Source organism: Homo sapiens, chromosome 7 (assembly GCF_000001405.40).
Source record: "Homo sapiens chromosome 7, GRCh38.p14 Primary Assembly".
In the NCBI taxonomy this organism is placed as follows: domain Eukaryota; kingdom Metazoa; phylum Chordata; class Mammalia; order Primates; family Hominidae; genus Homo; species Homo sapiens.
Genome location: NC_000007.14, coordinates 57,237,785 through 57,249,577, shown reverse-complemented (window position 1 = coordinate 57,249,577; position 11,793 = coordinate 57,237,785). Strand labels below are relative to the sequence as shown.

General features: G+C 49.8%; 1 long non-coding RNA gene across 2 annotated transcripts; it reads right to left on the bottom strand.

The window, feature by feature from the left end:
* Positions 1-3,649: 3,649 nt before the first annotated feature.
* Positions 3,650-6,898, bottom strand: LOC105375298 (uncharacterized). Of its 2 annotated transcripts, none has more exons than XR_927303.3 (3): positions 6,556-6,898; positions 6,342-6,438; positions 3,650-3,881 (listed from the first exon to the last, which is right to left on the bottom strand). It is a non-coding gene; the product is annotated as an uncharacterized LOC105375298 (long non-coding RNA). The 2 variants fall into 2 exon arrangements; XR_927304.2 differs by lacking the exon at positions 3,650-3,881 and adding an exon at positions 6,163-6,200.
* Positions 6,899-11,793: the final 4,895 nt, after the last annotated feature.

The following is an 11,793-nucleotide window of genomic DNA, read 5'->3' as shown; positions in this document are numbered from 1 at the left end:
AGGTCTTGCTCCCTGGCCCAGCTCTGCTCAGATCCACTGTCTTCTGAGCCTTGCCTAGGTCTGGCCCAACTCTGGAATCTCCCCTCACAGAACCTGGTAGAGGAGATGAGAGTTTTGTGCTCCTGCCATCTCTTCAGAGTTGGTACTCCCAATTTTTCCAAACCCTAAAGCAGGTAAATGGGAGTAAAATACTATATGTTTAATTTCTGTCTTTTAAAACCATTACTTCTAGAGACATCTCCCCGACAACCTGTTTTCCATTTGCAGATCCAGTAGTTGCTCCACAATTCACAAAAACGTTCATATAAACAACAATGAAAAATCCCTCTGAACTTAATCCTTAATCCTACTTCATGCTTTCTTTCTGTATCCCTCCCATCTGTCCACATTTAGAATCTCTTCTCTTCACCTTCTCATTTCACCTGGAGTCAAATTAAGAACTTTGCCCATGGCAACTTGGTAAATATGGTGTGGGTTTTTCTGTTTTTTTTTTTTTTTTTTTTTTTTCAGTGACTGTTGACATTCAGGGATGTGGCCATAGTATTCTCTCTGGAGGATTGGGAATACTTGGACTCTGCTCAGTGGAATTTGCATAGGGACATGATGTTAGAGACCTACAGAAACCTGGTCTACCTGGGTGAGGATAACTTTAATATACAAATTTTATTCCGTACTAAGGATTCCATATTCTTTCTTCGTAGTGACCCAGGTGACCTCCCTGTTATTATCACACCAAAGGAAATGAACAGTAATTCCGTAATCACTCCCTTGCTCACAGAGACACAAAGGTATCTTTCACCTTGTTCCTCAAGTCTTTTCCTGCCTCAGGGCCTTTGCACTTTCTGTGGCCTCTCCCTGGCATCTCTCTCCCCAGATTGTGCTCTAAAAACTCTTTCTCACTGCTTGGGTTTCAGCATAATGTCACCCCCTGGGAGAGTTTGTCCCTGTCTGTTTCACCTAAAAATGCTTCCCAATCACTCTATCCTCCCTCCCCATTTTAGCGTCTTCCTATGACATACCACTATCTGAAATTCTGTTTTTATTTTCTGTCTGTGACTGCGGTCTATGTCCCCCTCCCCACTCCCCACCCCACACTACCTGCAGAAGAGCAGGGGCCATGTCCATTTGTTCACTGTTATAGCTGCAGTGCCCAGAAGATTGTCTTGCATGGAGTAGATATTCAATAGATATTGGTTAAACGAATGAATGAATATCCTATATGTGATGTTTTCAAACAGAAGAGGTAGTAAAATGGAGGGATTGGACCCCATTTTTTAGAGATAAATCCACACAGCTTCAATCCCAGTGCTACCACGTACCAACTGTGTGTTACTGTGGTAAGGCCTCTGTCCCTTAAACTCACCTGCCAAATAGGGACAATGGCAATCTTCTCTCCACCTTCTAGGACTGTTGTGAGTTATTAATGAGCTTATACACCAAGAGCTTAGAACAGTGTCTGGCATCTAACACCAACCTTTCTTAAGCACTTACGATTAATGTTGAATAGTCTGGCCAGAGGCCCATGATTTTAAGCACCACTGGCTGTTCACAGGCTCACACAGAAACTGTCTCCAAGCATAGTGCCCCAGGAGAACTTCTTGGAAGTGCTGATGCTGCCCTGTGTGAGACCAGCTAGGTCAACATGTGCCTGGAAAAAGCTCTGGTTGTTTACAGCAGGCATCTGGGCTGATGGGTCAGGGCCTGTGGTTAAACATTTTGATTCCCACCCCTGAGACCAGCCCTTGGAAGCTCACGCAGGAGCCGAGGCAGGGAACCTGGAGAGAAGAGGACAAACAGAGATTTCTCTCTGCTAAATGAGAGTGAACCCACTGGCAAGGGTCTGACTCTGTGGATTCCCTCCCACTCCACTCTGGTAGGTAGACTTTGTTATGCATTTTACCTTATTAGTGGCCTGTACTTTTTTTTTTTTTAGACAAGGTCTTGCTCTGTTGCCTGGGCTGGAGTATAGTGCAATCATGGCTCACTGCAGCCTGACCTTCTGGGCTCAAATGATCCTCTCACCTCAGCCTCCTGAGTTTCTGGGACCACAAGTGCATGCCAACACACCTGGCTATTTTTTTAATTTTTTTGTAGAGATGAGGTCTCACTACATTGCCCAGGCTGGTCTCAAACTCCTGGGCTCAAGCAGTCCTTCTGCCTTGGCCTCCCAAAGTACTGGGATTATAGGCATGGGCCACCATACCCAGCAGCCTGTACATTTTTAAAAAGAGAATATTTGGTACTGGATGTCCACATGCAGGGGCATGTAGGTGAAGATGCTTTTGAGCTAAAGCTGCAATAAAAAAAAATGAGTTAGGACTGGGCGTGGTGGCTCACGCCTATAATCCCAGCACTTTGGGAGGCTGAGGTAGGCAGATTGTCTGGGGTCAGGAGTTCAAGACCAGCTTAGACAACATGGCCAACATGACGAAACCCCATCTCTACTAAAAATAGAAAATTAGCTGGGCGTGGTGGCACACACCTGTGGTCCCAGGTACTTGGGAAGTTGAGGCACAAGAATTGCTTGAACCCGGAAGTTGGAGGTTGCAGTGAGCTGAGATCGCACCACTGCACTCCAGTTAGGAAACTAAGAGAAGTGTTGGAAATTTGGACAATAAAAATTGCATTTAACTGGAAATAAATAAGGTAGTCTACCCAAGAAAGTGTGTATGTAATATAGGTAATGGGATGACCGGCTTTAATGCAGTTGACTCGGCTAGCATTTCCACTGTGCTGGGTGGAGCAGTGTCCCCCCACCCCACTTCATGCCAATCCAGAACCTCAGAATGTGACCTTCTGTGGAATTGGGGACCTTGCAGATGCAGATAGTTAAGATGAGATTATACTTAGATTAGGGTGGACCCTAATCCAATGATTGGTATCCTTCTAAGAAGAGAAAGTGGGGGCCAGGCGTGGTTGCTCATGCCTGTAAACCCAACACTTTGGGAGACCAAGATGGGTGGATCACTTGAGGTCCGGAGTTTGAGACCAGCCTGGCCAACATGGTGAAATCCCACCTCTATTAAAAATACAAAAATTAGCTGGGCTTGGTGGTGTGCACCTGTAATCCCAGCTACGAGGGAGGCTGAGGCAGAAGAATCACTTGAATCCAGGAGGCAGAGGTTGCAGTGAGCCAAGATTGCGCCATTGCACTCCAGCCTGGGTGACAGAATGGGACTGTCTCACACACACACAAAAAGAGACAGAGAGAGTGGGGACACAGAGATACAGGAAAGAAGTTCATGTGAAGGAGGAGACAGAGATCAGAGTGATGCTGCTGCCAGCCAAGGACATCAGGGATTCTGGCAGCCACCAGCAGCTGGAAAGACCCTCCCTGGGGCCTTTGGAGGAGTGTGGCCCTGCTGGCACCTTGATTTTGGACTTCTGGCCTCCGGAACTATGAGAGAGTCAATTACTGCTGTTTTGAGTCTCCCAGTTGGTGGTTATTGTTATAACTGCCCTAGGAAATGGATATGCCCATCAATGAGTTGGGGTGGGGGGGTCACTCCTCTTCTCCCAGGGTGAATGAGTGATGGTGGCAGTGGAAAGAGATGTCCCCACGGTGACACCAGAGCAGGAATCTCAGCCCAGGCCCCAAATCAAAGATTCTGATTTAATGGTTCAGTGATAGATCCAGGCCTGGGTATTTTTTTTTAAACAAGTTTATTGAGATATAATTTACATAACATAAAATTCACCCATTTTAAGTGTACCATTGAATGATTTTTAAGTTTCCCAGGTTGTGCAACCGTTACCGTAATCCGGTTTTAGAACATCTTCATCATCCCGATTCTGTCCCTCGTGGGCATGGGTAGTTTTCAAAGCTCCCTAGGTGGCTCCAGCCTGCACCAGGGCTGAGAACTCCTGCTCCCTGGGGAGTCCTGGGGGAAAAGGAGAGTGGTATAAGGTTTCCCCAGAGGTGCTCAGGACTAGTTGACCTTGAAATAAATGTGTAGGTAACTTCAAAACATGCCAGTAGGCATCCACAGAAGCAGTTTTGGTTGCGGTGGTGGGGAGAGGGTGGGAGGCTGGCTGCTGAGGTGGATGAAAGCCCATCCGGGCTGTGGATAGTGTCTGGGGAGGGGGTGAGGAAGGAGGGGGTGGTCCCATTTCCACCCAGCTGGAGAGAGCCCTGTGTCCACTCCCCAGTGCACACATCGTGTCTGCCCTGGAAGTTAGGGTGGGGGATGGGAGCTGGGAACTGGGGTTGCTAGCAGGGAGTCCAGTGGGTGTCAGGAGGCCCAGCCTGGCCCCTGCATGGCCCAGAGTCAGGTACGTGAAGCTCACTGTCCCAGAGGGGTGAAGCACCACCCCCAAGAGCACATAGCAAGGCTAACACAGGGGAGAAGAGGACCCAGGGCTTTGACTCTTTTATTTATTTATTTATTTATTTATTTTTGAGATGGAGTCTTGCTCTGTCACCCAGGGTGGAGTGCAGGGGTGTGATCTTGGCTCCCTGCAACCTCCAACTTCCTGGTTCAACCAATTCTCCTGCCTCAGCCTCCCAAGGAGCTGGGATTACAGGCACACAGCACCATGCCCAGCTAATTTTTGTATTTTTAGTAGAGACGGGGTTTCCCCATGTTGGCCAGGCTGGTCTCGAACTCCTGACCTCAAGTGATCTGCCCACCTCAGCCTCCCAAAGTACTGGGATTACAGGTGTGAGCCACCGCCCCCAGCCTCTACTCTTGTTCCACCTTGGTGCAGCTCCCTGAGCCCTGTGCAATCCTGGAGAGAGTCTGGGGCCAGCTTGGTCCTGATCAGCACCCAGGGCCGGTCTCTGCTGGGCTCCCGCTGGAGCATTTCCTTGCCTGCCTTCCAGCAAGACCTTGCCTTGCCATGTGAGTCTGACCTGAGAAGTGTCTCCTGTCCATCACATCCTGGTCCTCTGCCAGGACTTGGTGGAATCTCTGCCCACTTGGCACCCAGGTCTGTCCTCACCCTGCGATGGCTCTTGGGTGACTCATCAATTTGTGCTTGTATCCGGTCGTCTGTGGCTCTGGCAGGTCCTGGTACCCACAAGGGCTGGGCTGCCAACCAGGGTTGCAGCAGAGGCCTCTGGGGTGAGCCTGGCTTATCCTATCGGTTCCCCTTCACCTCAGAGCGAGTGATTTATGAGTATCACAGCTACTGCTGATTGAATATTCACTGCACACATACAGGACATCAGCTCTGAATAGCAGATCCTCATCGGTAAACGGACTCCCAGATCTCCCCCAGCCTTGGATCCTTTCAGGACCACTGCGTAGATCACACGTGAGTGTGAATGTAGAACAGAAGGATAAGGTGTTTTCTTCTTCATTAACCATATTCCATGCTAGCAACTTTCCAGAAGTTTCCCCTGTGGCTAAGGAATATGTAACAGGTACTGCCTGTTTGCAGCTGCATTCGCTCAGGGTCATAAGGCATCACACGCCGGGCTATAGGAGTTCTCAGCTGGTGGTGTCTGTTTAGACGATTAGTGAATTAAGGGCTTGTTTCTTTGACTTCAACAAGGGACCACATCCCAGTGGGCAATTAACAGACGCTATTTGGGATGGATGGCCACAGGCTCTCTGTGTCAGCGGTGAAGACCCCCAAACAGGCATTGTTCTTGGGTTACCCACAGGCTGAGTTCTGACCCTGCAGTGTCACTGCAGAGCAGGGAGCCAGCCTCCCCAGGAGGACAGGCCGACAGGGAAGACACCTGAGCTGCTTTGTAGGGGAGCTGCCATCCTGGTAGAGAAGGGGCTGCTTTGGGGTTTTTTGTTTGTTTGTTTGTTTGTTTGTTTGAGTCTTGCTTTGTCGCCTGGGCTGGAGTGCAGTGGTGCGATCTCGGCTGACTGCAATCTCCGCCTCCTGGGTTCAAGTGATTCTCCTGCCTCAGCCTCCTGAGTAGCTGGGATTACAGGTGCCTGCCACCACGCCCAGCTAATTTTTTTTATTTTTAGTAGAGACGGGGTTTCACCCTGTTGGCCAGGCTGGTCTCAAACTCCTGACCTCATGATTCACCCACCTCGGCCTCCCAAAGTGCTGGGATTACAGGTATGAGTCACCGTGCCCAGCCTGCTTTGTGTTTTGGAGGCTGCCTGCATGGGCTCCAGGAAGGTGTTTTGATCAAGGTGACCTGAGGGTGCAGCAGCCTTGGACATGTTTGGTGACATGTTCTTGTATTCACTCATTTGAAAAATCCGTTTAAAGTTGCCACCAAGTCACAGTAACTGTATCAAGACCCCAAGGCCCAAAAAGGTGACTTTCATGACCCCCTGCTCCCAGGGGGCCTAGAGTCTACTGGGCAAAAAAGCTACAAGTGAGCTCCTCAGAGTTTGTGACAGAAAGTCTTGTATTTTACCACCACCTACCTGCTTTTTCCCTTTGATTGGTTTGGGTGGTCATGTACCCAGCTCAAGATCACTGAAGCCAGTGGTCCTCGAAATGTCGTCCCTGGACTGGCAGCATCTGCATCACCAGAGAACTTGTTAGAAATGCCAAATCTTGGGCCCCATCCCAGTTCCACTGAATCAGAAACTCTGTGGGTGGGGCCCAGCCATCTCTCCTTTAACTAGCACCACTTACCCTGCACCAGTCATATGCATGGGCACTTGACTGGTTCTTGCCAGTGAGATGTCAGGCAGTATTTGCTGGGTTTTGGAGAAGTCGTTTTCTTCCTGTTAAAAAGGCCAGAGTCTTGGAAGGAGGAGGCCTTGCCTCATGCCCCCTTCCTGCTGCTCTGTGTGTGGTCCTGAGCGCACATGTGCATGGCATTGAAGAGTCAATGTATGGCCAGGAAGGGCAATGTCACTGTCACCAATCAGCTGAGCCTGACTGAGCAGAAAAGACCAGCCCAGGGAGTTCTTATTAACAAGACAGCAAATGCGTTCATAACATTGCTACTTGTAGCCAAGAGCACCCCCAACTGATCCAGGTTCATGAGGTTGATAATGATGTAGGTATGACCAGAACACCTCCCTGGCTTATTATGATGTTGCATAAGTCCTTTTCTTGCTGTGTACCTTTGTGACATCTGTAGTTCAAAAACCTTGGCCAGACCAACTTAGACCCTTTACGATGGCTACTGTCAAAACCCAGAAAATCACAAGTGTTGGTGAGGATATGGAGAAATTAGAACTCTTATACACTGTTGGTGGGAATGTAAAACGTTTGAGTGTAGCCACCGTGGAAAACAATATGGCAGTTCCTCAAAAAATTGAACATAGAATCATCATAGGATCCAGCCATCCCACTTCTAGGTATATACCCTGAAGAACTGAAAACAGGGACTTGAAGAGAGATTTGTCCCCCATGCTCATAGCAGCATTATTCACAATAGCCAAAAGGTGAAAGCAACTCAAGTGTCTATAAATGAATGTTTAAGATGGTAAATTTTATGTTTGTGTATTTTATCATAATTCAACATTTTTTCCCATGTCCATAGAAATGAAATAATAAACTTTATTAAAATTAAACTTTTTTTTTTTAAGAAACATGGCTGGGCCTGGTGGCTCACACCTGTAATCTCAGCACTTTGGGAGGAGGCCAAGGCTGGTGGATCACTTGAGCTCAGGAGTTTGAGCCTGGGCAACATGGCAAAACCCTGTCTCTGCCAAAAGCAAAACAAAACCAAAAGTTAGCTGGGTATGGGTGCATGTGCCTGTGGTTCCAGCCACTTGGGAGGCTGAGGTGGGAGGATCGCTTGAGCCCAGGAGGTCAAGGCTGCAGTGAGCCATGATTGTGCCACTGTGCTCCAGGCTGGGTGACAGAGCGAGACCCTGTCTCAAAAAATAAACAAATAAATAAAAAAAGAAAAAAGAAACATACATACACAACTCTTAAAATCCACACCCTTTCCTTCATTTATGTCTACAGGGCGATGGTCACTGTTGTTCTTGCCGCTCCTCTGAGTTCTGGTCTCATTTATCCAACAGACATCTTGACATCTCCACCTGGATGTTTTGAAGGCAACTTAAGCCAGTGCGCCTGGGTCTGAACTCCTGACCTTCCTTCCCAAACCTGCTCCTCCTGCTGTGTTTGTCTTTGGAGTGACTTCCACTTCTATCCATTATAAGTCAGAAATCACCTCCTCCTCAATCTCCTCCGCTGGCTTAATCCATTTCAAATCCCTTGTGATTGTCCTTCCTAAATACCTGCCAAGGGCGGCCACCCCTGCCAATCTCCTCCAGTGTCACCTCTGACAACTGCAGTGGTACCCGACCCAGCTCCCTGTGCAGACCAGGGCACCGCCCACATTCACATTTTACGACAGGAGCCAGAGTGAGCTTTTCCAACTGCAGATCTGATTGATTTCATTCTAGTTTCACTCTCAGTAATCAATGCCATATGAAAATATTTCACAGAAAAATCCAGCCCCTCCCATTATAAATTGCCATACAGGCTTCTCCTGGGTTGATTTCTTATCTAGTTATAAGAGCCAAGCTGTCTTCTGGGTCTCTTTGGACTGAGTCTCTCAGGTTTGGGGTCTGACCTTGAGGGTGGGTGGGACAAATATCACTGATGGTTGATGCCTTAGTTTGGGTTGTCCCACGTGCAGACTCTGAGACAAGAATTTGAGAGCAAGTAGTTTATTTGAGAGGTGACCTTAGGAAGCTCTGGCAGGGCTTTAGGAAGTGCAACAGGAAAGGAAGGAGGCCAATTCAGGGCGTAGTATTCAGCCAGGTGGTGCAGAGGACAGCTGGAGTTCAGTCCCATGGAGAAATCACACACAACAGAGGAATCCCAGGAGCAAGGGAGCGTGGGTATTTATACACCAACTCCTATGAGTTATTATTTGGGGGTTGTTGGAGGTGAGTGTTAATCCCCTGGCACCGCCCACCTGCCGCAGGTGTGGGTAGAGTGGCCTGCTGAGGTCATGGACAAAAGCCTGCAGGCAAAAAGAAGAAGATATTGGCAGTTAGAAGTGGCTCTGTGCCTGCTGGAGTGTTCCAGGGCTATGTGCAGGGCACGAACAGCACCTGCTCCCCTGGGGATGATGACAGGTGACACTGGGTGACTCAGATCTTCCTGACATAACATGGAGACACGTGGTTAGAAAGCCAGTCCATTGTCTGAAGGAGAAGAGTCCCAGTTTGGTGCTAATATTCTTAACACCTTTCCAACACTGTTCATCTCCATCTGGAACCAAGAAAGAGCCAGCCTTTGGCCTAGCGTCTTTGGTAGGCCATCGTATGTACCTACCTGCAATTGATGATGTTGCTTTGGTTTCTACTTAATTTTTTCCAATAAACTTAAGCATATAAAGTTTGCTATTGAAATAAATTTATATACTTAAAAAATAAATTGATCTTTAAAGTGTTCGATGCCATCCCAGGCTGCCCTCCATGTGACAGGTGGCAGGCAATGCCTAAATCAAGGGGACACAGTGCACGCTCTGCCATGGTCATCTCAGGCCTCTGCCCTCTGGGTTCCAGCCCCTCTCTAACCTGGTTCTCACTTTTCCCTGTCCACTCCATCCACCAAAGCCGCCTTCTCGCTCCCACTAAGTACGTTCTTGGCTCTGGCTTTGTTCCCACCCCACCCCTCCTCCCTCCTTTCTTTTCAATGTCCTGCTTATGCTTGGAGGCCTGACTCCAACACCACCTCCCCACCCCACCTGAGTCCCCGACCACCCCCGCCCACACACTCCCAGTGGGAGCTGAGGACTTCCTGCTGGGGCCACCCCCACTCCAGGATTATTTCATCCTGGTGCTGTGCTATTGACTGTTGACAGGTGGGTCCCCCACCAGCCCCAGTGTTTTGTGGGAACAGAGTCCTGGCCCTCTCTGAGCCTGGCCTGGTGCTGTCTCAGAAGAGCCCATGGTCTGCGCTGAGCCAGTGCAAGAGCAGAGTGGACCGCAGCTTCCTCCTCCATGGCGCTCCCGACGCCCCTCAGGTGACTCCAGCCAACCAGGGGTTCCAGCAGAGAGAAGGATGATTATGGGTGTGACTGTGGCCCTTTTCCTTCCATGGCTCAGGCTGCACTGTGGGAGCTTGTCCCCTTTTAGCTGCTGCACCAGTCCATCCATTTCTTGCCATTGCCCCGTGGAGTCTGTGGCATTAGCCTTTTCTCCGGGTTCTGACTGAGACCAGGTAGAACTGCCTGGGGGCAGTTCTACACTACCTTGAGTGCCTGGTTACAGGGTGACAGCACTTCCAGGGTCTCTGGGTTGGGTTTGGGGAGGCACCAGAGGCCTGAGCAGATGGCTGGGTTGGTTATGCCTGCTGGGCAGGGTACAAAGCCAGGAGTGGGTGGGGCAGGGAGACCATGAGGAGCCTGTGCAGCCCGTTTTGTCTCAGCAGAGGGGTGAGTCCCAGCAGCTTCCCCGGGCCAGGGCGTCAGCCGAGTCCTGGGAGTGCAGGCAGCCCCCAAGCTGGGCATCTGGGCAGCGGGTGGGGGGGGGCTTCAGGGAGGACGCGGTGGGTAGCATATGCCTCAGGGGACGCGTGTGCATGTGAGAGGGTGACAGTGTGTGTATATGTGTGCCTATGAATGTGTTTGTGACTGTGAGAGTGAGGGTGTGTGTATGTGAGTCTGTACATGTGTGAATGTGTGTATGTGAGTGTATGAACCTGTGTGTATGTATGTATGCATGTATGTGTGAATGTGTGTATGTGTGAGTGTAGGTGTGTTGGGGCCTGTGTGTATGTGTGTGTGAATGTGTGTGAGTGTAGATGTATGTGAACCTGCGTGTGTGTGAGCCTGTATATGTGAGTGTGAGCCTGTGTGTGTGTGTATTAGTCTGTGTGTGTATGTGTGAGACTGTATGAGTGTGTGAGCCTGTGTGTGAGAATGTATGTATGTGTGTGTATGTGTGCGTGAGAGTGTGTTTGTAAGGGCGTGAGAGTGTGCGCATGTGTGGGAGACAGAGTGTCTGGAGGAGGCAGGCAGTGGGATATGGGAGCAGGGAGAGCAAGGTGACCTCCAAGGAGAAATGGTGTCTGGGCAACCCCGAGAGCCTGAGATGTGGCCTGGGGGCTACCATGGACGGGAGGGAAGCAGGAGGGTCAGGATGACTCATGCTCTGGTTCTTGTCACTAAAAGTCAGAGCAGCTGAAACTCACCAAGCATCACTCACATCAGACACTGGTCTAAGCACCTTACATGCATTCTCTATATTTTTATTTAACAAATACTTACATTGCGCTTGCTGTGTGGAGGCACTGCTCTAGTTGATTTACAAAACGAAACAAGAAGCATCGAAAACACATTGAATCAACAAAACACCATCATGAATTCTCACAACTGCCCTGTGTGGGAGGCACTGCCACTCCCTCCATCTGCAGAGGGGTAGGGGAGCCCGAGAGCTGGCGGGTGGAGGGCTGGGTGGGGTGGAACTGGCATCTGCCTCCAGGGCTGGGCTCCTCCCATTGGTGATGCCTGGGTTTCATTGTGCTCGTAAAAGCCACGGGTCAATTATGCTTATTAACTGTTCTGCAGGTGGGAAAATGGAGTCACACAGGGGTGAGCAATTTGCTCAGCTTGAAAGTGGCAGAGCCAGGACCCAGCCCAGGCCATGGCTCGGGACCCACTCTGTAACCACTAACTGGGGGCCCCACAGTAATGAGCTATTTGAAGAAAGGCGAGTCTCTGACCTTGGCTGTGCCTCAGTTTCTTCATTTGCCAAGTGGGGCTCTGCTGCCCCTGCCTCTGCCCTGCTGACTTGCAAGAAGAGTGAGAGAATGGAATTGGACGAAGGCTTCCAGAAACTTCCATCAGGAAAGCTCCCTAGCCTGGGAGAAAGCCGGTCCTGGCTGGCTCTGCCTGCAATGCCCTCAGTGGCCAGTCACGTCCCCTCCTTGACCTGCAGGTTCCTCACTGGA